Below are 24123 nucleotides of genomic sequence, written 5' to 3' on the forward strand. Positions count from 1 at the left end.
GCGCATGCCTGTAATCCCAGCTACTCGGGAGGCTGAGGCAGGAGAATTGCTTGAACCTGGGAGGCGGAGGGTGCAGGGAGCTGAGATCGCGCCACTGCACTCCAGCCTGGGCAATAGAGTGAGACTCTGTCTCAAGAAAACTAAAAAAGAAACCGGGAGACACATTTGTGGTCACTTAAGATTTTTCCAGACAACAACGTGCGTCATTTTTGCCTTTGAGATGTGTTTCTTTCTGCCTCCATTCCAGCCACAGTCCCATCCTGGCAGTGAGCAAATCCCACACGCAGTTCTAGCAGGACGCTGAGGCTCAGCTGCAACATGGGGCAGCCAGGAAGATGCCTGAGGAGGTGCCAGGCACACAGGAGGCACTGGGACAGACTCGGGCCGGGCTGCAGGCTGCAGCAACGCCCACCCCTCTACTTCCAGGCACAGCCCCTCCGTCTCACAGGACAGAGACAGGGCCGGCTCAGCGGCTGGTACACACTGCTTTATTTGTTCTTTTTATTATTATTTTTAAGTTCACCTACAGCTGCAGTACACACACACCGCTTTATTTGGCTAGCTGCTATTCAGAAGACACTTCCTGAATTCAGGAAAAATTTTTTTAAAAACCTGAGAACAATTCCTGTGACTTCTTAGCTTTGATGAAGTGCATTTACTTTGACATTGATATAGCTTGTAACTACTTTTGGAATTTTTTTCCCCTAACACTTTGATCTCATTAAGGGTATTACACCTTTTCCACCAGAAAATGCAGAGGTATCATCTTTCTTGGAAACCAATTGAAAGCGTCCCATTTTAACAAAATGACATAAAATTACAAACATTTACATGTTTAAATTCAAAGCCTGATCCATCTGGTGGTAAGAAATGTTAACTTATTTTAAAAGATGTATTTGCATTATTAAAATATAGTAACGACTTCCATCTTTACATCAAAAGAAACGGGCTTGCATAAGCAATGGCTCCCAGCTCTGGGGAGGGTTTGAGCCACGCCCTTGCGGGGGCCGCTCCAAGCTCTGACTTCAAAAGTTGGAGTTTCCCAGCTGCGAACAGCTGGTCAAAGGCACTCTCAAAAGTTCAAGGAAATGCCCGTTTGCGGATGGCCGCAGCAGGCCTGTGGGGCTGGGGACAGCGCCAAGGAGCTGGCCGTTGGTTCCTGAGATGCTCCTGCTCTGCTGTGTTCTAAGGACCTGCGAGCTGGAGCTCTTCTCGGGAAAAAGAAAACGCTGGGGAGGCCTCCGTGTGGGCGGGTCAAGCCAGATAACCAGGCTTGTACTGGCTTCAGCAGAAGCCGCGCTGTTTCCTCCTTCCCCCTCTATCTCCTTCTTTCCCTTCTGTCTCCTCCTTCCCCCTCTGTCCTGATGCCCTGCAGGCTGCTGGGGAGGAGCCTGCCGCCTGCCTCCTGCCTCCCTAGACCGCTGTTCTCCCCACAGCTCTCCCCCGGAGCTGTCCCCCAGCAGGCCACACCTGGGCCCAGGCTCCAGACCTGCCCGCCCACACAGGAGTCCCCTCTAGCCGGAGCTCCGCCCCCTGTTCCCAGGGCGTCCTGGGCAGGTCAGTTTTCCCATCTGTCAACCAGGAACATTCCAAGGCTCTTCCTGCCTCACTGCTGTGGTTTCCCACCTTCCACCCAGGCAGGAAGAGAATTTAAAAGCCCCGCAGGCACTGGCCAGGCTGCCTGTGAGAGGGAGAACTGGAAAGCCAGTATCAGGCAGACCCTCTCCCGGTTGGACCTGGGCGCTGGCTCCCCGCAGGGAAGGCACTGCTGTGCCTGGGGCAGGGGACCAGCAGTGGCAGCAGTTCCAGATTGTCAGAGCTGGGGAGGGCCTCCAAGAGCTGCCAGAGCTGATTTTCCAGAGAGGGAAACTGAGGCCCAGAGAGGCAGTGACGAGCTCTACCTCCCACTGCAAGGCAGATCAGAGCTGGGGTTCTCGCTCCTCAAAGTGCAGTTGGGGCTTCGGAGCTCGGGCCTGGGCTGGGAGCTGGTTAGACGTACAGAACCTCAGGCCCTGCAAGTCAACAGCACCCCCAGGCTGCTCATTAGGGAGTTAAAGTTGAGAAGCACTAAGCTGACCCGGCCACCCCTGGAGAGATGGGCCCGAGACTGAGGGAGCAGCGCGGGTGCACCTTCCACAGCAGAACCTTCCGGAAGTGTTGTGGCGCGGATGCCAGGAGGGGCTCGCTTGTGTCACCTAGTCCTCGTGAGCCCTCCCCACTGTGGAGAGCGGGCAACCAAGAGGGGCACGCATTTCAGGCTCCAGAAGAACTGGGCAGGCTCCCCGCGTTGGGGAGGAGGCGCCGGCGGCCCAGGCCCACGCACCTGTGGGTCTACACAGCTAATCGCCCCCACCAGCAACCATGACCGCCAGTGGCTGGCCCAGGTCAGCGCGGTCTGAAAGTGGATTTGAAAGGGCAGCTTTGAATATCCGGGAGTGACTGCGTTTTGGAGGTGGTTCAGCTCCTGCTAGAGCTCTGTGCAAGCAGAGGGTGCCCCAGCCAGCAGGTGCCTCCGAGGCCTGGCGGGGGTGGAGCATGCTGTCCTCAGCGGCAGTACTCCCGCTCGATGCTCGCCATCAGCCCCTCTTCCGAGTGGTCGTAGGAGATGGCTGCCGGCCTCTCGGGCTTCTTGCGACCGCTGCCTGGGGCTCTGTGGGTCAGAAATGGGACAGGGCTGTCAGGAGGCAGGATGGTGCGTTCACACTCATTTCCCCTGGCCACCACAATGGCTCCTAGTGGGCCCATCCTGAAACCCAAACCGAAGTCTTTGCCCTGGGACACCCTGTGGCGCTCTCGCCCAGCACATATCCACCAGCAGGCTTCTACTGCGTCCGCTTCATCTCCCACAACGCTGAGCCCTCGCAGAGTGGAAGCCAGCACCTGCCCTGGTTGAGGGAGGACGGGCTCTGGGGTGGGAAGACCGAGCTTGAATCCCAGCTCTGCGGCTCACCCGCGCGCCTCAGGCAAGGCCAGTGTGTCTCCGAGCCTCGGTGTTTTTTCTCAAGCACGTAACTTTATTCATGAGTCGTTCTGAAGCATAAGATAATGCATGGGCAGCATGTGATGTGGAATCGAGCACACCACAGCCTTAATCAATGGGAATCACGGCCAGGCGCAGTGGCTCATGCCTGCAATCCTAGCACTTTGGGAGGCCCAGGTGGGCAGATCACTTGAGGTCAGGAATTCGAGACCAGCCTGGCCAACGTGGTGAAATCTCATCTCTACTAAAAATACAAAAATTATCCGGGTGGGGTGACGGGTGCCTATAATCCCAGCTACTCAGGAGGCTGAGGCAGAATGGCTTGAACCCAGGAAGTGGAGGTTGCAGTGAGCCAAGAATGAGCCTCTGCACTCCAGCCTGAGTGACAAAGTAAGACTCTGTCTCAAAAAAAATAAATAAAAAATAAAAGGGAATTACTGTCATGTTGGCTGCTTGCCGACATCGGTCCGTGCTTGTACCCTCTGGGGTCTCACAGGAGCTGCTCATTGTGGGGAACCACACGTTCAGGATCCCGCCAGTCCCTCAGCCCACCTGGCAGCCCAGCTGAGAGGGACCGAGACCAGAGCTCCTGCTCCTGCTGCCTGGGTTCCAGAAAGCGGCTGCGCCAGCCTGGACCCTGCTGGCTTGTCCTGCTCTCCCAGACCTTCTGGACTTTGTGTGGACACCTGGGTGGTGCTGACTGCCCCCGGACCTGCCACGGTTGTGTCGAAATGTGCAGACCTTTGCAGGAGGCAGTCCCGGGAGCCCAGGGCAGGGCATGAAGCCTCGGTCAGGCTGGGTGCTGCCTCCTGGAGATGCTGCCTCGGAAGGGGGTGTGCAGGTCTGCAGCTGACAGGGTCCAGGAGAGGCAGGCCAGCTGCCCACAGCCAGGTGTTGGATGCTGCCCTCCCAGTGGCCAGCCAGGGACTCTGGGCAATGGGAACACCGCCAACTGCTTTGCCACTTGCCAGACATTAGGGCTAGCCGCCCCCCATTTCCCGGCCTGGTTCCCCCTCTGCGAGCTTGGGGGGCTGGGCTGGATGGACTTAAATGTCCCTCTGACTACTCCCACTGATGCTCAGAGCACAGCCTCCGGGTCCCCGTCTGGCTCTCTGGGAACTCAGGGCAAGAGCTGGGCTCCTGGCACAGCCACTTGACTTCATCCCCCAGGAAGGATCGGCATCTAGCAGAGGGCCTCCAGGCGTCCAGGGGACACACTCCTCCCCTGTCCCGGAGACGTCATGCCCCTATTGACCAGCTGGCTCCAGGGACTATACTTATTAGCACTGCCCGCGGCCAGTGCGCAGAAACAGCTGCGTGGTCACTGTTGACGCCTGCAGGGCTCTTGGCACACTGCCTGTCTGTGAAAGCACTGAAGGCAATATGTGTTCCTTGCAGCCCTGAGACACAGTGGAAATGCAGACGTTCTGGAGCCAGGCAGATCTCACCTGGCTCTGCCACGCAGTCGCTGTGTGGCTGTGGGCAAGGCATGTACCAGGCCTCACGCCCCTGTGGATAAAACCCAGCAGCTACTCCACGAGTCCAGCCTGAGGGCTGGACCAGGCGCCATCTGCGGTGTGTCTACCACAGAGCTGGGCACTAAGGAAGCACTCAACAGAAGTCGCTGCGATGCTGTTAGTTTCGCAGTGGCTCATGCCTGGCCCGGCGCAGTGGCTCATGCCTATAATCCCCAGCACTTTGGGAGGCCGAGGCAGGTGGATTGCTTTGAGCTCAGGAGTTCGAGACCAGCCTGGCCAACATGGTGAAACCCCATCTCTACAAAGAGTACAAAAATTAGCCGGACATGGTGGCATGCGCCTGTAGTCCCAGCTACTCAGGAGGCTGAGGCTGGAGAATCACTTGAGCCTGGGAAGTGGAGTTTGCAATGAGCTGAAATTGCACCACTGCACTCCAGCCTGGACGACAGAACAAGACCCTATCTCAAAAAAGAAAAACCAACCAACCAAACAAACAAACAAAAAGGCAGAGTAAGGGACCAGCAAAGCACCCAGTACAGAGGAGAGACCCGGCCACTGCCCTTCCTGTTTCCCACCATCCTCCTGGGCTCACCTCCCCTGAGGATTGTTGGGAAGAAGAGAAATGGGCACGGGACGCCCAGACACCCTCAAGGGCAACAGGATCTCCTGGCCAACAGGAATCCCAAGCAGCACTTCTGGACCTGGGGACCCCCACAGGAATAAAAGCCCCTCTGGGCTCACCAGGCAGCCCCCTGCTTGCCTGTGGATGTGAAGCTGAGCCCTGGGGGAGGTGGCTGTCCAGATTCACACAGCCATTCTCCTCACTCGTCCTGTCTCACTCAGCACCCGACATGCCCTGTAGGTGGAATCTTGGGGAGAAAGGAGAGCAGGGACTGGCGCAAGGGAAGCTGACGGGCAGCCCTGGGGCTAGGGTGAGTAGGACGGTAGGCAGTCCTGGGTCTGTGAGAGGTCAGGCTCCACTGGGCTCCACAGCCACCCCTGCCCTGTCTGCCTGGCAACACTCCACCAACACCGTGGGGCAATTTGTGGGGCTTAGAGAGCCAGGTGGGGCCATAAGCTCTTTCTTTCCCCTGCTTGGGTGGGGGCACACAGATAAAAGGGAAAAATTGATCCTAAAGGGATTCTTGGGAAGTCTCACCACTCTTGAGGGAGTCAAGAAATGAATTTTTGTTTAAATTCTCATTTACTGTCAGGTTTTCCATCAGCAGGGACTCCTAAAGTCATGCTTTTTTTTTTTTTAGACAGGATCTTGCTTTGTCACCCAGGCTGAAATGCAGTGGCAGGATCACGGCTCACCATATCCTCCACTTCTCAGGCTCAAGCCATCCTCCCACCTCAGTCTCCTGAGCAGCTGGGACCCCAGGCATGTGCCACCACGCCTGGCTAATTTTGGTACTTTTGTGGAGACGAGGTCTCCCTATGTTACCCAGGCTGAAAGTCACAAATTTCTTAAAAGAAAAAGACCTTTCCAAGGAAAATCACTCCAAGAAAAGAAACCAATACGCTTCTCCAGAGAGAACAAATCCATTGTAATTGGGCCTCAGAAACCCACATGTTAAATGAGGCAAGAACATTTGTGTTATTCTACTGGGTCTAGAATTTTCTCTTTTTTTCTTTTTTTTTTGAGATGGAGTTTTGCTCTGTCACCCAGGCTGGAGTGCAGTGGCGCACTCTGCGATCTCGGCTCATTGCAACCTCCCCATCATGGGTGCAAGGGATTCTCCTGTCTCAGCCTCCCAAGTACCTGGGAATACAGGCACGTGCCACCACTCCCGACTAATTTTTATGTATTTTTAGTAGAGATGGGGTTTCACCATGTTGGCCAGGCTGCTCTTGAACTCTTGACCTCAGGTGATCTGCCCACCTCAGCCTCCCAAAGTGCTGGGATTATAGGTATGAGCCACTGCGCCTGGCTGGGTCTAGAATTTTCTAGAATCTGCCGCCTCTCCAACCTGGGGAAATACTGCCTTGGATCTCAGTTTACTCACTAGGAAAATGGGGAGGAGTAACCTCTCTCACCAATACCGTAATGTGTCTGGCCCAAGGCCTGGCTTACAGTGGGTACTCAACAAGCATTTGCAGAATGAACAGTAAGTGAATTTCAGCAGCAGCTGCAGACAGAAGTTTCTAGAACCCCTATGTTCCCCTCCATGAGCCCCTGGGCTTCCACTAGCCCTTCCTTACAGACTTCAGGTCAGGATGGCCCAGCCAAAAGCTCAGGGAAGCAGCGACTTCCTCCCGCATGGCTGCTTCCCTCTGCTGCTTCCGCAGGGCCCTCCCGGGGGAAGGACCTGGCGTTGTCAGGATGGTCAGGACTGGGGTCAAGGCCCACACGCCCCAGGCTGACATTAAACAATCCTGTCAATAAGCGTCTATGAAATGCTACCATGTGCCTGGAGCTATGAGGGCCCAGAGGCGAATCTGATTCCTTCTGTGATGAGGCCTGGAGAGAAGAGAGGGGACAGGGCAGGACCACATCACGTGGACCTACTACAGGAGAGGCCACATGTGGGAGGGGCTGGGAAGTTGCACCATGCGGGAGGAGGGACACTAGTTTGACCAGGAAGGGGATAGAGTATGAGGGGGAGATGTTTAAACTGTGCTTTGAAGGGTTTCTTCTTCGATATTTTATTATGAAAAATTTCAAACATACTGAAAAGTTAAAATTTGTAGATTCAACAATTAAGTTCAACTTTGCTATATTTACTTTATCACGTACTTATTTACTTCTTCATCTGATTTTCTGATGCATCCCAGAGTCAGCTGCAGACATTAGCACCTCCACCCTGAAACACCATTGGAAGGACCCTGCCTGGGAGGGTGAGGGTGACACTGGAGGGAGGAGATTGAAGGGCGGGACACTGTTGCAGCCACAGGGTGAGGCACTGGTACCCAAGAGCTGCACGCTGGGGGGCTGAGACTGGCCTGCAGGGTCCACGGCTGCCACGGGAGTCAGGTGTGTGCCGTGGGCAGCGAGAAGCACAGTGGGTACAGGGCAGATGCTGCCAGCCCTGACCCTGGGGCAGGACTGCTGGGACCTGGGGCTTCCTTCCTGGTGGAAGCACGGTGCTGGAGGGGCTGACAGAGCCCTGGGCACTCCTACGCCTAGGGCAGCACTCAGGGAGGCTCCCATTAAAGTATACTGAATGAAAAGGCTGGGTGCAGTGGCTCACGCCCATAATCCCAGCACTTTGGGAGGCCAAGGTGGGCGGATCACCTGAGGCCAGGAGTTTGAGACCAGCCTGGCCAACTTGGCGAAACCCTGTCTCTACAAAAAATACAAAAATTAGCCGGACAGGGTGGCTCGTGCCTGTAATCCCAGCTACTTGGGAGGCTGAGGCAGGAGAATTGCTTGAACCCGGGTGGTGGAGACTGCGGTGAGCCGAGATCGTACCAGTGCACTCCAGCCTGGATGACAAGAGCAAAACTCTACCTCAAAAAAATAAAAAATAAAATAAAAATAAATAAATAAATAAGTATACTGAATGAGTGAAGTACCACTGGTGAGTGGTAGTAACGGATATGTCAGGGGTGTCCTGGAATGTGCACGTGTAGAAGTCAGAAGAAGTAATAGCTAATTAGTTCATGGTAGGATTTAATCCTAAATTCCTTGGGCTGATGGAAACTCTAAAGTCCCTGCTGACAGTGCAGGGGCAGAGCTGCGTGGGCATCATCCTCACTCCTCACTACCTCCCCCTCTGCAGCAGCTTCTAACATTGCCCAGAGCCGGCCACAGCATTCTACTGGGAAGCAATGGCCAGCAGTTTCCACTCAGCATTCAAGGCCCTCCCAACACTTTAATCCTCCCTCCCCAATTCCCTCCTACCACCCCCACCTGTCCACACAGTGTCCCAGGAGCCTCTTTCCTTCCTCTCTCCTCGGCGAACTCCTGTACGTCCTTCAAGCCATATTATTTTTATATTTTTATTTATTTATTTATTTTTTTCTGAGACAGAGTCTCCCTCTGTCACCCAGGCTGGAGTGAAGTGGCGCGATCTTGGCTCACTGCAACCTCCACCTCCCGGGTTCAAGTGATTCTCCTGCCTTAGCCCCCGGAGTAGCTGGGATTACAGGTGCGCACCACTGTGCCCGGCTAATTTTTGTTTTTGTTTTTTTTTTTTTTGGTATTTTTTTAGTAGAGACAGGGTTTCACCATGTTGGCCAGGCTGCTCTTGAACTCCTGACCTCAAGTGATCCGCCTGCCTAGGCCTCCCAAATTGCTGGGATTATAGGCGTGAGCCACTGGGTCCGGCCCCTTCAAGCCATCTTAAACACCAGTTCTGACCTCCCCTGGAGCTCGCTGCTTGCATTTCCCGAGACCATGCCCCTCCCGGGCTGGGCCTCAGACCCGGCCCCTGCACTGCAGCCCTCAGCACCGCTGTGGGGCTCAGGGTAGGACCTCCCAGTGTCTGTTAAATAAGCGAGTTCAGCAGGGTTCCTGTCCTGAAATCATTTGTAATTAAGGACAATGGCTAACATTTCCAAACTTTTTCACTCCCACAATCTTACCTGACAATCACCCACTCCCAGTGACCCCTTGCCACATTAGCTGGAGGTCAGCAAGCCAAGGGGGTGACCGGCCTGGGGTGGAAAGACATCCCTGGAGCAGACAGACAAGGCCTGGGCTCTGGGGTTGGGGGATTTTAAAGGAGGAAATGAGCCCAGGCTCCTCGCCTGCTACCTTCAAGGGTGTTCAGCGTGGTTCCCTGGTAACGTGCTGTGGAGCTGCAGGTGGGCCCGCTGCTGGCCCTGGGCTGCGAGTTCCTTAAGGGCTGTGTCTTGTTCCTAGATCTGGCCACAGCGCACAGCATGGCACCTGAATATTTTTGAATGAGTTACAGCACAAATAGGAAATGGGTTGGGCATGCCCTGGTCTGATCCAGGTCACGACCTTTTTTAGGAGGAAGAGCAAAGCTGCGGTGAGATGGTTAGCCTTCTGCAATCTCCTTGGCAGGACCTTCCCTTGAGGGCTAGGGCTTTGCATTTAGAGGGAGCTGCCTCTGGAAACCTCGTGAGGACCTGGAGGAAAGTGGGGGACAGGAGGGCTCTGAGGCTGGCTGGAGTCAACAAAAAGAACCCGTGGCTTCTGGGAGAGATGTGCCTCCCTGGTACTTACTCAGAGACATTGCCGCTCCCCGGGTGGCCCTCTGTGCTCTGCTCTGCGCACACCTTGAGAAAGATGAAATGAAGAGACATTCAAAGATTGTCAACAGTGCAGCCTGCCTAAGGCTTTGGCTTTGTGTGGACAGACGATGGCCACCACTTTCAACCCAGGATCCATAAGCCTCGGAGCGGAAAGGCTCTCGAGCTGTCAAGTTCCATCCACTCATTGCACAGGCAAGAAAACGGAGGCTGCAAAAAGAAAGCGACTTGGAAAGCTCACACACAGAGCAAGTGGCAGAGCCAGGGCCAGACTTGCTGCCTCCCAGACGGCCACCCATGTGAGGGTTGTCTCTCACCCCCAGGGGTCATGTGACCCACTGCCACCTAGCACGAGGGCACCCCGTGTGTCACCTCCAGGGATCTTGGGACCCACCGCCACCTAGCACGAGGGCACCCCGTGTGTCACCTCCAGGGATCTTGGGACCCACTGCCACCTAGCACGAGGACACCCCGTATGTCACCTCCAGGAACCACGCGACCCCGACCCCACTCTAAACATTGCCCAGAACCCTCTCCCTCCCCCACTGAAGTGCTTTCTCTTCATAAGGCCAGGACGTGTCTACACAGCATGTGGCTGCCGTGGATTCTATGGTCCGACAGTCCACTTGTCTACCCGTGCAGTGCCAGAACCACCCTGTCTCATTCCTGGCATCAGGCAAGCCTGGCTGTCCGCTAAAGCATGTCTTCCCAGCTTCTTTCTTTTTCCAAGAGAGTCTTGGTGATTCTTGGCTATTGGCACTTCCACGTACAGGTGCTGCTCAGCTTACAATGGGGTTACGGCCCGAAGAAAACATTGCAAAGTGGAAAAATCCTATGTTGAATCATCAAAATCAGGGACCATCTATACATGTATTATAATCAGCTTGTCATATTTGGGGGAAAAAAACCTTGGGGATTTTTCTAGGGTTGTATTAAACTATAGATCATTTTAGGGGGACTTATAGCTTTACAATAATGAGTCTTCAAATTTATAAATAGGGAATATCTATTCATTTAGGACTCCTTTAGTGTCTTCTAAGAAGTTATCATTTTCCCTATAGAGATACCATGGATATCTCTTTTTATTTTATTTATTTATTTTTGAGACAGAGTTTTGCTCTTGTTGCCCAGGCTGGAGTGCAATGGTGCGATCTCAGCTCACTGCAACCTCTGCCTCCCGGATTCAAGTGATTCTCCTGCCTCAGCCTCCTGAGTAGCTGGGATTACAGGTGCCCGCCACCACACGCAGCTAATTTTTGTATTTTTAGTAGAGATGGAGTTTTCCCATGTTGGCCAGGCTGGTCTCGAACTCCTCACCTCTCAGGTGATCTGCCCACCTCAGCCTCCCAAAGTGCTGGGATTACAGGCGTGAGCCACTGTGCCCAGCCAGCAATGTTATCTTTTTAAAATAAAATTTTCTACTTGCTTGATGCTTCAGAAATGACTGAGATATATACATTTTAAAAAAATTCTTTTCTTTTTTTTTTTTTTTTTTTGAGACAGGGTCTTGCTGTGTTGCCCAGACTGGAGTGCAGTGGCCTGATCATAGTTCACTGCAGCCTCCACCTCCCAGGCTCAAGCAACCCTCCCATGTCAGCCTCTCGTGTAGCTGGGACTACAGGCTCGTGCCACCATGAAGAGCTAATTTTTCATTTTTTGTAGAGATGGGGTCTCACTGTGTTGCCCTGGCTGGTCTTAAACTCCTGGACTCAAACAATCCTCCCATCTCAGCTTCCCAAAGTGTAGGGATTACAGGTGTGAGCCACTGGGCCTGGTCAGAGATATATGAATTTATCTTGTGCTTAGCAGTCTTACTGAATTCTCTTATTAATTCCAGTAATTTATGGCTTCCTTTGGATTTTCTTATTTCCCATTCACATGATCTGGGAATAATGGCCATTTGATTTTTCCCTTTCTGGTCCTTATACATTTTTCCCCTAACCTTTCTGCACTGGCTGGGACCTCCAGTAGTACAGTAAAAGGAAGTGATGATGACAGTCATCTCTATCTTAATCCTTTATTGAAAGAAAAAGTTTCCATCACATCATGACTGAATATGATATTTGCTGTAGTTTCTTCTCCAGCTATCTTGTATCAGGTCCTTGTCTCTCTATGCTGTGTTCTGGGTCATTTCTATCTCCCTCTCTCCATCTCACTGATCCTCTCTTCATCTCTGTCTAATCTGTTAAACTTATACCATTGATATCTTTCATTTTGCTTATTATATTTTCCATTTCCAGATGTCCTATTTGGTTCTTTTTCACATCTTCTAGGTCACTTTCTATAGTCCTTGTCCTTTGCAGGTGTTTTCTTTAAACATAATAAACGTAGCTGATTATAGTCTGTGTCTGGTGATCCTAGTAACTAAGATCTTCATTGGTATATTTTTGTTTCTTGTTTCTTCTAAGTCTTCACTTGGTTCTTTGGGGAGTTGATTATTTTTTGTCATTGGCAGCTTGTCATCATTGAAAAATTCCCTCTGGGTATTCTTTGAGGCCTAAGAGGCCTTCCTCCAGAGAGGGGATGCATTTGCTTTTGTCAGGCACATAGCAGGCATCCCTGGTCTGAAACCACTTCAAATTAAATCTATACTTTCAAGTATTTTGGACCACCAGGTGATGAGAATTTAGGCTGCAAACATAAGAGGTGCCTGGGTTGAGCTTACAACTTCCTAGAGCTTGCAAGATCTTTCTGTTCAAAGGAAAAAACTTTTGGGTAAATAGGTGTACACGATTACAAAGAAACCCACTCCAACTGCATGTGCTAGTCAACCAGTTTTTGGTTCATAAATATAAATGGTCATAAAACGACTCACAAACATTTAAAGGGGGAGGGCACATGAAAGAATAATCAAGATGAACCAGCTAGGCGTGGTGGCTACCAACACTTTGGGAGGCCGAGGCGGGTGGATCGCCTGAGGTCAGGAGTTCCAGACCAGCCTGGCCAATGTGGTGAAACCCCATCTCTACTAAAAACACAAAAACTAGCAGGGTGTGGTGGCGGGCACCTCTAATCCCAGCTACTGGGGAGGCTGAGGCAGGAGAATTGCTTGAACCCAGGAAGCAGAGGTTGCAGTGAGCTGAGACTGCACCACTGCACTCCAGCCTGGGTGACAGAGCGAGGCTCTGTCTCAGAAAAAAAAAAAATTAAATTTTAAAAAATAAATAAAAGTCTCCAGGAAGGGATGAGCAGGCGGAGACAGGCCACCTACAAAAAGCCAAGAGTCAGGTGGCCTCACCTGCTCATCAGTGACACTGGAATCCACTGTTATAATGGCTGCAAAGGTATAAGGGAAAGCTATTTTGAACTCAGAATTTTAATTCCAAATAAACTATTAATCAGGTATTAAGAAAATGAAGATATTTTCAGACATACAAAGACTTAGAGTTTATCTCCTATTACCCTTTCTGGAGGAAAAAAAATTAATTATTTTTATTTTGTTGTTGTTGTTGTTTTTTGCGACGGAATCTTGCTCTGTCACCAGGCTGGAGTGCAGTGGCACAATCTTGGCTGACTGCAACCTCAGCCTCCTGAGTTCAAGCGATTCTCCTGCCTCAGACTCCCGAGTAGCTGGGACCACAGGTGCGTGCCACCACGCCCAGCCAATTTTTGTATTTTTAGCAGAGACAGGGTTTCACCATGTTGGCCAGGATGGTCTCGATCTCTTGACCTCATGATCCACCTGCCTCAGCCTCCCAAGATGCTGGGATAACAGGTGTGAGCCACTGCGCCTGGCCGAAAAAAATATTTAAAAAAAATTTTTTTTTTAATCATAGAAGATAGAGGTTTCATGAGCCTAATGGAATGCAAGGCAGAGGAAACTTTGGATAATGTGTAATAAGGCCAGAAAGCAACCTGTCAGTGTCCAAAGTTCCCATGACATAAATTGAGCGATCAGAGTAGCTGCTCCAAATATCTGAAGAGCTCATGTGGAAACAGGCCACACTTCTTCTGCCTGTCCCAGGGGCTCAGTGTGTCCCCACTAAAGGGAGGTGGGTTGTGTTCAACACAGAGGACTAAGTCAGAGCTGCCTGTGAGGGAAAGGCTGCCCCAGGAGGCAGTGAGATGCCTGTCACTGAAGCCAGACAGAGGCTGGGTGATCCAACAGCTCATGCCCCCTTCTTAGAATTCAAAATCAAGGCCAAACACACACCCTGAAGTCACGCACTTCTATTTCTAGGGTCACTGTGAACGCTCAGCAGGTGAGGAGGGGGAGGGCAAGGGTAAGAAGGGATCGCGACAACAGCGTCTTCATGCTCCCGTCTCCTCACCTTCCGGGCCTTGGTGTACTTGGTTCAATGCCAAGGAGCTCCCCAGGGTTCTCCCAGCCTGGCCCAGTACCCTCTGATGGGTGTGGCTTTGCCTTGACCTCTATCGCTGCGGTCCCCGTGCTGAGATGGAGAACCTGTTTTATTTTTATTTTTCACTTTTTTTGAGATGGAGTCTTGCTCTGTCATCCAGGCTGGAGTGCAGTGGCGTGATCTCGGCTCACTGCAACCTCTGCCTCCAGGGTTCAAGTGATTCTCCTGTCTCAGCCTCCAGAGTAGCTGGGATTACAGATGTATGCCACCACACCTGGCTAATTTTTGTATTTTTAGTAGAGGTGGGGTTTTGCCATGTTGGCCAGGCTGGTCTTGAACTCCTGACCTCAAGTGATCCACTCGCTTCAGCCTCCCAAAGTGCTGGGATTACAGGTGTGAGCCACTGCGCCTGGCATATTTATTTATTTATTCGAGACAGGGTCTTGTTCTGTTGCCCAGGCTGGAGTGCGGTGGCCTGATCATAGCTCGCTGCAGCCTCAACTCCTGGGCTCAAGCAACGGTCCCATCTCAGCCTCCTGAGTAACTGAAACTACAGGCACATGCCACCACACAAGGCTAATTCTTGTACTTTTTGTAGAGACGAAGTCTCCCTATGTTGCCCAGGCTGGTCTTGTACTCCTGAGCTCAAGCGATCCCCCCACCTCGGCCTCCTAAAAAGTGCTGGGATTACAGGCATGGTGAGCCACCACGCCCAGCCTGAGAACCCTTTTTGTTTGTTTGTTTGTTTTGTTTTGAGACGGAGTCTCGCTCTGTCATCCAGGCTGGAGTGCAGTGGCGTGATTCGGCTCACTGCAACCTCTGCCTCCCAGGTTCAAGCGATTCTCCTGCCTCAGCCTCCCGAGTAGCTGGGATTACAGGTGCCCGCCACCACGCCCAACTAATTTTTTGTATTTTTAGTAGATACGGGGTTTCACTATGTTGGCCACGCTAGTCTCGAACTTTTGACCTCAGGCCGTCCACCGGCCTCGGCCTCCCAAAGTGCGGGGATTACAGGCGTGAGCCACCGTGCCCGGCTCTGAGAACCTCTTAAAGCTAAGGCAGGACATCCAGCCAAGCCCAGGGCCTGTCAGGGTGGACACTGAGCTGCCTGCTGCTGCCCTTCTGAAAGGGCAGCGGGACCCTTGCGGCAGGGGGCTTGGAATGCCTGGCGTAGGGACCTGACTTTGCACTGCTCACTAACATGAAGACACTGCAGCTTCAGGGCAGCCTTAAGGATGGAATGCCATCCAGTGCGTGAACGGCCCCCCAGAGCGGACGCAGGAGGAAGCAATTTCCCCAATGGCTCAGCCTTGCTGTTTCTGTTGTTTTCACCTGTGTTTTTCTCTGTGCCTGAGATTTTATTGCGTGGCCCTTTATCTGGCCAATTTGTTTAAGCCTTGAACTTACTTTCTCAGATGGAAAAAGCATGAGACTCCCAGAACACACAAGCTTGCTGAAGCAGCCAGGAGGAGCTGGTATGAAAAGCAAAGACACAGCAGCCCCAGATGGTGGCTCCAGCCTCCTGCAGACAGGGGCTCCTCCAGGGGGCTGCCTCCACCTGCAGATCACTGAGACACCTGGACGGACGTGGGGAACCGGCAGCACCTGGGCTGGGGCCCTGGGAACTGAGCTGAGTTCAGGACCAGTGTGTGTGTGCGCCCTGTTTGTATGTGTATGTTTGTGTGCGTGCGAGGGGTGTGTGTCATCCCTTGAGATTCTAGGGGGGCTTTGGAAAGACCAAACCACAGCTAAACAAGAAGCAGAAAACATATGAGAATGAAGCGAATAAGATCATCTCTTAAAGTTTTTGACTCTTAAAACTAAAGTTTTCGTGAAAATTAAAGTTTCAAAGGTTACTTTTTTTTTTTTTGAGACAGAGTTTCGCTCTTGTCGCCCAGGCTGGAGTGCAATGGTGGGATCTCAGCTCACTGCAACCTCTGCTCCTGGGTTCAAGTGATTCCCCTGCCTCAGCCTCCTGAGTAGCTGGGATTACAGGCATCCGCCACCACACCTGGCTAATTTTTGTATTTTTAGTAGAGCTGGGGTTTCACCATGTTGGCCAGGTTGGTCTCGAACTCCTGACCTCAGGTGATCCGCCTGCCTCGGCCTCCCAAAGTGCTGGGATTATAGGCGTGAGCCACCGTGCCCGTGCCCGGCCCAAAGGTTACTTTTTAGAAAATCCACTGCATATTTACCCAAAATAAAATATACAGTGGATTTCTTCTCCTGAAAGAGTTCTTCCATTAACTCTTAATTTTTAGCAGCTTAATATGTATGTATGTACATACACCAGTTATATGTGTAATTGGCAGAACAATTCCATTCCTTTTATTCCATAGTATGGATACACTTCCCCCTTCCTCTTTCAGAATTATCCTTCTTTGAAGCCCAGGTTTGGTTTGTTTGGCTTTTCGGTTTTCTTAAGGAAACTTGAACATGTACAGTAGAGAAACTCCTACAACGGCTCTCCTGGACCTGACCCAGCTTTCACAATTTTGCTAGTCTCGTTCTGTTGCTCACCACCAGAGGGCACTGTTCTCCCCACACAGAGGCCAAGATCCCAGTGCCCTGGGGAAGCTCCACTGTAGGGCTTTGCAGGCAGCAGAAGCTGAGCAGTGCAGGTGGAGGAGCGGTGGGGGAGCGGTGCAGGCAGGCTGTGAGTCGGAGAGTGGTGCGGGTGGGCTCTGCGTAGGGGGGGATGGCGCAGGTGGGGTCTGCGCGGGGGAGCAGTGCAGATGTGTGGGAGCAGAGCAGATGTGTGGGAGCAGTGCAGATGTGTGGGAGCAGAGCAGATGTGTGGGAGCAGAGCAGATGTGTGGGAGCAGTGCAGGTGGGCTCTGCATGGGGGGGCGGTGCAGGCTGGCTGTGTGGGAGTGGTGCAGATGGGCTCTGGGGGGCAGCGGTGCAGGTGGGCTCTGCGATGAGACCTGTCTTGCATGGCTAACATGACAAGGACGTGACAAGGGGCTCTGGGAACCGCCCCCCCCCCCCCCCCGGCTGTGGGCTGCCAGTCCAGGGCCCGTCTCCACTGGGAAGGCCTTGCCTTGAAGGAGGTGTTTCCAAAGCCACAGGGAAAAAGGCAAGGGAGACCCAGAGAGGCTGTCACTGGACTCAGGGTCTGAGAGACTTGTCCGTGCTAACAGGGTGTGGATTGCGGTTGGCCTGACCTGCAAACAGGCACCCTCCCACTCCTTGCTGGGCCCCAAAGTCCTCCGATGTAAATAAGAAGGTGGGACTGAACCATCTGTGAGGTCCCTTAAGCTCAAGTCATCTCGGATTTCAGCAATAGAAAGAAATGACAGCTGTCTGGCCATATACTATCAAGAAACAGAGCTTGGTGGGAATCGGAATGGGTGGCCTTGGGCAGGGGGCTGCTTTCCCTGCTGGGTAATGGGCTCACGGCATTTAGGGGCAGAAGGGCCTGTGTTGTGCACAAACCACTGCTCTGACCCTCCTTCCCAGAGTCTAGTTAGGGTCTGCCCCAGCCCTATGGGACTCAAAGCTCCAAGGTTAAGAGCTCTTGGTCAGCATCTCTCGAAGAGTGCATGAGCCGACATCCTCCTTTCCACGGCATTTCTACACCCTGCCGTGCCCAGTACTCAGCAGCAGCCACCACAGCCTCTCAGCAGGGCAGGAAATGTGAGGCTGTACCCCTGACCGTGATGCAACCAGGCTTCTAATCACCTACAGCAGCCAGCAGCCAGGGACCATGAAGGGAGAGAGCCTCTGAGGCTGCCCGCTCCTCCCCCGGGTCGAGGCACTGGGCTTCTAACATCTTTTAATCCTACTCTTTTTATAGAACTCCAGAGAGGACAATTCTTCCTTCAGTTTTTGATGTTCATGTTCCAGGCTTGGCATCCTTCCCCACCCATCCACACGCTCTCCCTCAGCAACTGTACTCTGGTATGGCATCAGCCACTATCCAAATGCTGATGTCCACGAAATGACAGCTCCAGCTCCAACCACTTTTCGCAGTTGACAGGAATTTCGGACAGCCCACGGAAATTATCCACCTAGGACTCAAAACTCAACTTGTACAAAACTAGGCCCATCCTGTTAATAGCATTCTGAATCTTCTCAACTACACAAGCAGGGAATCTTGGAGTCTTTCTAGAAACTCACTTTCCCTTGCTTGTCAAACTCAGTGGCTCACCTCACCTCCTCCTCCACCTCTCACCTGGATTCCTCCCTTACCTGGGCTCCTGCCCCCATGCAGTCTCCCCCAGTACAACCTCCCCCGCCACTGTGGATCCTTCTATTACACAGGCTGGGAAGACACACAAGAAACTGAGAAGCTGCTTGTCTCTGGAGAGGGGAGCTGGGGAAAGAGTTGGGAGGAAGGGAAATTTTCTTTGCAATGCATGTTTTCAATGTCCCCTCATGTGCCTGTGTATTACCTCTTCTAATTTTTAAAATAAACATTTAAAAATAATGAAACACAGAAAACTTCGCCTAGCTCCCCACTGCCTACAGGACAGTTCAACCTCTTAGCTTGGAATCCTGTGAAAATGTGACCCAAACCCGTCTCATTGGTTTCTGCTCTCCGACATCACCTGGCTGAATGGCACATAAACTCCAGGCTGTTCAAAAGCACTTCTGGGCCAGGTGCGGTCGCTCATGCCTATAATCCCAGCACTTTGGGAGGCTGAGGCGGATGGATCACTTGAGGTCAGAAGTTTGAGACCAGCCTGGCCAACATGGCGAAACCCCGTCTCTACTAAAAATACAAAAATTACCTGGGCATGGTGGCACATGCCTGTAGTCCCAGCTACTCAGGAGGCTGAGACAGGAGAATTGCTGGAACCCGGGAGGCGGAGGCTGCAGTGAGCCGAGAATGCGCCACTGCACTCCAGCCTGGGCAAGATAGAGTGAGACTCCATCTCAAAAAAAAAAAAAAATCGCTTCTGGACCTCTGGAGTTTTCTACACATTGTTTCCTCTTTATGGAAAGCTCCACCCTTTGTCAACCGCTGGAACACATTAGTGATCCTTTAGAACCAACTCAGACACCAGATCCACTGGAAGACTTCTGCCTCGGGTGGGATTCCCACGCCTCCACGTGTGCAGACGCACTGGAGCATGCCTTTACAACATGCTTCCACGGGAACTTGCAAACGTGCATTTACGCACCCCTTCCCAACACGGTTATGAGCTTTTTGGGGGTCCGCACCATCCTTTCTTCTTGTCCCCTGGATCAATTGAAATATCACTCATTGCCATTTAAATTTGTGTTCTTTGCTACAGACTTGAACGCAGGCAGATAGTCACCGTCTTCAGGACAGTGACTTTGTTTTGCTGCAAGTCCATTAAGTTACCCATCACCTTGACGTCCTTCTGTGGAGGTGCTGTCCCGCCAGGCACTCACTGTGACTGCTCTCTTTACACCGTGAGTTCCATAGCAGCTGCATGCCAAGATTACTGTAAAGTCCTGGCTGGGGTAACAGGCAAGAAAGAATTATCCGGATGCTCCATGGCTACAGCAAATGGAACCTTTCCAAAAATGGTGGATGACAGAGTCCCTCAGCCTAAGGAGAGGACACTATTGCCCGAGACTCTCTTGCAAAACAGAAAAATTCTCAGATAACGTACTTCCCTTGACCTTGAGTGACCCAGGTTTATAGGCAGAGGGAGGAAAACAATCTGAATTACCACCTGCTAATAAAAATACTGAATCTGGCTAGGCACAGTGACTTACACCTGTAATCCCAGCACTTTGGGAGGCCAAGGCAGGGGGACCACCTGAGGTCAGGAGTTCAAGAACAGCCTGACTAATATAGTGAAACCCCATCTCTACTAAAAATACAAAAAAATTAGCCAGGCGTGGTGGCATGCTCCTATAGTCCCAGCTACTCGGGATGCTGAGACAGGAGAATTGCTTGAATCCTGGAGGCAGAGGTTGCAGTGAGCCGATGCACTCCAGCCTGGGCGACAGACCAAGATTCCATCTCAAAAATAAAATAAAAATTAAAATTAAAATACTGAATCTATGTCTACTTGATTAAACCAAAATTTCTTCTCCAAGGGTTCCTTCAAATTTCACGAGGGCATCTAATGCTCAAAACCTCCTCTTATCCAGCCCATTCTGGGACTAAGATTTTCTGGTGAATTCCAGGTCCAGCAGCACCATCCCTACCGCCATCCACTACTGCTGCGCTGTAAAAAGAGCCTTCCTACAAGAGCTGACTGCACCGCCCTCCTTGTGTCCTATTCTCCATGAACTCCAGCCCAAGGCGCCTCCCACCACTCTCTGACCCATCTCTCACCAAGGACCTTGAGACCTCCCGAGTGGCTCAATTCAACCACCAGCTCTCAGGCTTCCCGCATATATCCCACCAAGCAGCACTTCCAGCAGCTGAGCACGCCCTCCGTCCTAAGCACCTTCCTCCCTTGGCTTCCGGATGTTCTCTTGGTTTTCTCCCCTTTACTGGCTGTTCTTTAGGATGCCTCTATCTCCTCAACCTTTGAACAGCGTGCTCAACCCCTGGCCTCGTCCCACGTTAGTTCACATACACGAAGCTCCCAGGACAGAGCCCGGTGCCCATCCATGCTTCCTAAGCACACGCTGGCAGCATCGTCACTGGTGATCCCATCTAATCTCATGGGTTTAAATCCTCCCATGTTCTAATGGCTTCTAAACGAACTCCAAACCTGACCTCTCCCCTGAATGCCAAACTCTTACAAAGATCTACTCACTTGACATTTCTGTTTGGATGTCTGACAGGCATCTCAAATTTAACATACTGAAAACCAACTTCCTGGTTAATGACACCCCAAACCTGCCCCTTCCACATTTTCTGTGTCTGTTCACGGCAGCTACATCCCTCCAGCTGCTCTGGCCAAGAACTCCTGGTTCACCTTTGATTCCTTTCTTTCTCACACATCCCAGTCACCCCACTAGTGAGTCCATAAGCCAACCGCCCCTCACCACCGCCCGCCAACCTGGTCCAAATGACCCCACATCTCACTTGGATGACTGCAGAAGCTCCCCTCCCCCAGCACAACCCCAGCTTCTGTGCCTGCCACCTCACTCCCCCTTTCTTCACTCCAGCGAGACTCTGTCTCAAAAAACAAAAACAAAAACAAAACATAATATTCAGAATGATGATTCAGGGATAAACAGACCATCTCTAAGACATTCCCAGTCAACAGTGGTCAAAATTTTTAAATGTGAGTGCTTAAAAGAATAACTTTCACTTGAGTTTGATGTTCTTTTATGAAGAATATGTCTCTCCTCCAAAATGCTAGACAGTTATGAAGCTATTAAAGGTTTCTTTTCCTCCTTTCTTCCTAAAGAAACTAAAAGTAGTGTTATTGGCCGGGTGCAGTGGCTCACACCTGTAATCCCAGCACTTTGGGAAGTCAAGGCGGGTGAATCACCTGAGGTCAGGAGTTCAAGACCAGCCTGGCCAACATGGTGAAACCCTGTTTCTGCTAAAAATACAAAAATTAGCTGGCCGTGGTGGCGCACATCTGTAGTATGCAGGCGTTATCTGAAAATAATGAATTGGACCCAAGGGCTCCCTTCCGCCTCGAATAATCTGTGATTCTAGGATTCATTTATTCAAGAAATATTTATGGTGCAGAAAATACATACAGTCGGCTGGGTGAGGTGGCTCATGCCTATAATCCCAGCACTTTCGGAGACCAAGGTGGGCGGGTCACCTGAGGTCAGGAGTTTGAAACCAGCCTGGCCATCATGGCAAAACCCCGTCTCTTCTAAAAATACAAAAATTGGGCGTGGTGGCAGGCACCTGTAATCCCAGATACTCAGAAGGCTGAGGCAAGAGAATCGCTTGAACCTGGGAGGCACAGGTTGCAGTGAGCCGGGATCACACCACTGGACTCTAGCCTGGGCAACAGAGTGAAACTCCGTTTCAAAAAAAAAAAAAAGAAAGAAAGAAAAAAGATACACACAGTTCACACCCAGAAGGGCAACTGCAGCTGGCTGACCTCCTCAACAATTCCTGAAACCATCTCCTCTGCAAGCCTCTCACCGCCACTGCCTTGGTTCAGGACTCGGCCACCTGGATCATTGCAGACTCCCCCACCCACTCACACAGGTGGTCATGTTATCCCTAGTCTGACTCTGTCCAGTTCATCCTCCCTACAGTTGTCGGTGTGACGTTCCTAAAACACAAACTGTCACAATCCTTACCTTTCAGATACCCAGAACTTTCATAGTAACCCAAACTCGCTAACATGGAATACCCTTGGCATGGCGCACTGCAGCCTGGCATACTCTCCTAAGACCTCTCTGACCCATGCCCTGGGCACCAGCTGCCCCAGCCACCAGTGACATTAGGCATGAGGTTCTCTCTGCACAGAACTTGCTGCCTGGATCACGTCCACAGACCCTTCCAGATTCAGGACAACTTCCAAATTCATCCCTTCGGGAATGCCTACCTGCCTCCCTTGGGATTAGCCGCTTTCTCCTGTGGCCTTTTGATACGGATCTCTCATCGCCCTGCTTTCTACTTTCCCCCATCGAGCTGCAGACTTCTTTAAGGCAAGGGCTATGCTGTGTGGCCTCATCCCTAGCACCCACAGCGGGACCGGTGCTCAAAGGATAGCTGGAAAATGACTTAAAGAGCGAGCAGTCACCATGATGAATAATATCAGCAAATCAGAGGGCACAACATTCACTCTTGCTATTTGCCTCTCATTTTCACCTCCGAGTTTCCAAAGCACTTGAAAATGAACACTAAAATTAACTGCCTCCTTGCTATGTGTGAATTCCTCCCAAATTTCTCAGCTATTTGTCCAGGCAGTGTTATATAACTGCAGGCTGATGTGGTATTAAAGGAATCTTGTTATATAATTCAGCCCTACTCACTGCAGCTCGCTTTTCCTCTTTAAAGACCGTAAGGGAGAGGAGCAGGGAACCAGGGCCAGAGGGAGAGAGCTCTGTGCACTGTCGCCTGGGGCTGTCCCTCTCCCCCACCCTCCCTGGGGCCTTTTCAGGATTCCTTGGTGCGGTAGCCACCCAGGAAGGCATCTTCCTCGGCTCCCAGCGGCTGCTAAGCAAAGCCTCCCGGGCCTCAGGGAGGAGGACGAGGCCCTTGGCATCCTCCCCGAGCCCGGGAGCGGATGTTAAAGATCTTGTTCATTCAGCTCTGCTGGAGCGAAGACGGTTGCCAAACCAGAGTGCTTGTTTTATTGTTTTTTTAGAACAGCAGGACTGTTATTACGAGTATTCAGGGAGAGAGAATAGGAAGCGCAAAAGAGATTCCGCAGCATCCTAAAAATATCAGTAACATGAGAATTGCCTGCCCAGCAAGGCAAGGATCTGGACCGGTGGGCGCGGCAGGGCGCTTCTGAGCCACCGTCTGGCTGCCGTGCCACCACCGCCGGCGCCCCGCTCCAGGGCGGCCCGGGAAGGCCAGGCGGGGCCGCGGGCCCGAGGGGAGCCGGGAGCCCGGCGCGCTCCGCCTAGGGGTGTCCTTCCTCGGCCGCTCCCAGCGCGATCGCCCCCACGCCTGGACACAGACCCGGAGACGGGGCAGAGAGGGAGGAAACCTGGGGGCCCAGGGGCGGGGAGGCCGGGGCAGCGGGGAGCACGCAAGTCGGAGGCTGGAAGGGGGCGCAGCGCGACCGGCGCCCAGGGCTGGGGCGGGGACGCGCGGCCGGTGAGTGGGGTCCCCGCCGTCCCCCGAGGCCCTGCGGCTCCCACACTCACCGCGCTCCCCGCGACCGCGGTGGGTCGGAGCCGGGCTGGGCGGCGCGGGGCGGGCTCCGGGGGGCCCCAGGCCGCCGACTCGGCCAGCAGCTCGTCCAGCAGGCGCAGCGTCTCGTCCCTGCCGTCGGGGGGCGCCACGGGGCTGGGGTCGCGGCCGGGCGCCTCCTCCGCGGCTGCCCCCGGGACCTCGGCCGCCGCCACCGGCACCCGCCGGCGGGTCCCGCCCTCCAGGGCTGCCGCTCCGGGCCCCGCGGGGAGGCTCTCGGGGCTGCGCCGCCGCCTCAGAGTCCGGCTGCTCCGGCTGCTGCCGCTGCCCATGGCGCGCCCGCCGCCTCCCGGACCGCCGAGGGGGCCCCCATGAGGGGGCGCGGCCGGGGGCGGGGACGCTAGGGGGTGCGGCCGGGGCGGGCTGCAGGGGGAGGCGCGGGGCGAGGTCCGGGAAGCGACCGCGGCCAGGGGCTAGGGTTCCCGGGCGGGGGTCGCGGCCGGAGGACGGGGGTGCGAGCCGGAGCCTGGGGAGGGGCGG

The 24123-nt window shown here is 52.9% G+C and overlaps 1 protein-coding gene across 1 annotated transcript, besides 12 other annotated features; it reads right to left on the bottom strand.

Moving 5' to 3' along the window:
* On the bottom strand, positions 165–24103 carry CYS1 (cystin 1). The gene is made up of 3 exons (NM_001037160.3): positions 23598–24103; positions 9596–9648; positions 165–2650 (listed from the first exon to the last, which is right to left on the bottom strand). Exons 1-3 carry the CDS (start codon positions 23913–23915, stop codon positions 2545–2547), a joined length of 477 nt encoding a protein of 158 aa, NP_001032237.1. The 5' UTR covers positions 23916–24103; the 3' UTR covers positions 165–2544.
* Positions 1282–2225: an enhancer, noted in NCBI's record as "H3K27ac-H3K4me1 hESC enhancer chr2:10197717-10198660 (GRCh37/hg19 assembly coordinates)". NCBI's record gives its function as "activates a minimal SCP1, AML or CMV promoter by ChIP-STARR-seq in naive H9 embryonic stem cells {active_cell/tissue: H9 hESC(naive)}" and the evidence as "EXISTENCE:reporter gene assay evidence [ECO:0000049][PMID:30033119]".
* Positions 2226–3168: an enhancer, noted in NCBI's record as "H3K27ac-H3K4me1 hESC enhancer chr2:10198661-10199603 (GRCh37/hg19 assembly coordinates)". NCBI's record gives its function as "activates a minimal SCP1, AML or CMV promoter by ChIP-STARR-seq in naive H9 embryonic stem cells {active_cell/tissue: H9 hESC(naive)}" and the evidence as "EXISTENCE:reporter gene assay evidence [ECO:0000049][PMID:30033119]".
* Positions 4027–4889: an enhancer, noted in NCBI's record as "H3K4me1 hESC enhancer chr2:10200462-10201324 (GRCh37/hg19 assembly coordinates)". NCBI's record gives its function as "activates a minimal SCP1, AML or CMV promoter by ChIP-STARR-seq in naive and primed H9 embryonic stem cells {active_cell/tissue: H9 hESC(naive and primed)}" and the evidence as "EXISTENCE:reporter gene assay evidence [ECO:0000049][PMID:30033119]".
* Positions 4890–5750: an enhancer, noted in NCBI's record as "H3K4me1 hESC enhancer chr2:10201325-10202185 (GRCh37/hg19 assembly coordinates)". NCBI's record gives its function as "activates a minimal SCP1, AML or CMV promoter by ChIP-STARR-seq in naive H9 embryonic stem cells {active_cell/tissue: H9 hESC(naive)}" and the evidence as "EXISTENCE:reporter gene assay evidence [ECO:0000049][PMID:30033119]".
* Positions 6907–7505: an enhancer, noted in NCBI's record as "H3K4me1 hESC enhancer chr2:10203342-10203940 (GRCh37/hg19 assembly coordinates)". NCBI's record gives its function as "activates a minimal SCP1, AML or CMV promoter by ChIP-STARR-seq in naive H9 embryonic stem cells {active_cell/tissue: H9 hESC(naive)}" and the evidence as "EXISTENCE:reporter gene assay evidence [ECO:0000049][PMID:30033119]".
* Positions 7506–8103: an enhancer, noted in NCBI's record as "H3K4me1 hESC enhancer chr2:10203941-10204538 (GRCh37/hg19 assembly coordinates)". NCBI's record gives its function as "activates a minimal SCP1, AML or CMV promoter by ChIP-STARR-seq in naive H9 embryonic stem cells {active_cell/tissue: H9 hESC(naive)}" and the evidence as "EXISTENCE:reporter gene assay evidence [ECO:0000049][PMID:30033119]".
* Positions 8355–9233: an enhancer, noted in NCBI's record as "H3K4me1 hESC enhancer chr2:10204790-10205668 (GRCh37/hg19 assembly coordinates)". NCBI's record gives its function as "activates a minimal SCP1, AML or CMV promoter by ChIP-STARR-seq in naive H9 embryonic stem cells {active_cell/tissue: H9 hESC(naive)}" and the evidence as "EXISTENCE:reporter gene assay evidence [ECO:0000049][PMID:30033119]".
* Positions 9234–10111: an enhancer, noted in NCBI's record as "H3K4me1 hESC enhancer chr2:10205669-10206546 (GRCh37/hg19 assembly coordinates)". NCBI's record gives its function as "activates a minimal SCP1, AML or CMV promoter by ChIP-STARR-seq in naive H9 embryonic stem cells {active_cell/tissue: H9 hESC(naive)}" and the evidence as "EXISTENCE:reporter gene assay evidence [ECO:0000049][PMID:30033119]".
* Positions 14982–15483: an enhancer, noted in NCBI's record as "H3K4me1 hESC enhancer chr2:10211417-10211918 (GRCh37/hg19 assembly coordinates)". NCBI's record gives its function as "activates a minimal SCP1, AML or CMV promoter by ChIP-STARR-seq in naive and primed H9 embryonic stem cells {active_cell/tissue: H9 hESC(naive and primed)}" and the evidence as "EXISTENCE:reporter gene assay evidence [ECO:0000049][PMID:30033119]".
* Positions 23238–23577: a silencer, noted in NCBI's record as "silent region_11154". NCBI's record gives its function as "represses an Ori minimal core promoter by ATAC-STARR-seq in GM12878 lymphoblastoid cells {active_cell/tissue: GM12878}" and the evidence as "EXISTENCE:reporter gene assay evidence [ECO:0000049][PMID:35858748]".
* Positions 23648–23887: a silencer, noted in NCBI's record as "silent region_11155". NCBI's record gives its function as "represses an Ori minimal core promoter by ATAC-STARR-seq in GM12878 lymphoblastoid cells {active_cell/tissue: GM12878}" and the evidence as "EXISTENCE:reporter gene assay evidence [ECO:0000049][PMID:35858748]".
* Positions 23948–24007: a silencer, noted in NCBI's record as "silent region_11156". NCBI's record gives its function as "represses an Ori minimal core promoter by ATAC-STARR-seq in GM12878 lymphoblastoid cells {active_cell/tissue: GM12878}" and the evidence as "EXISTENCE:reporter gene assay evidence [ECO:0000049][PMID:35858748]".

The sequence above is a fragment of the Homo sapiens genome, chromosome 2 (genome assembly GCF_000001405.40).
Source record: "Homo sapiens chromosome 2, GRCh38.p14 Primary Assembly".
Lineage (NCBI taxonomy): Eukaryota > Metazoa > Chordata > Mammalia > Primates > Hominidae > Homo > Homo sapiens.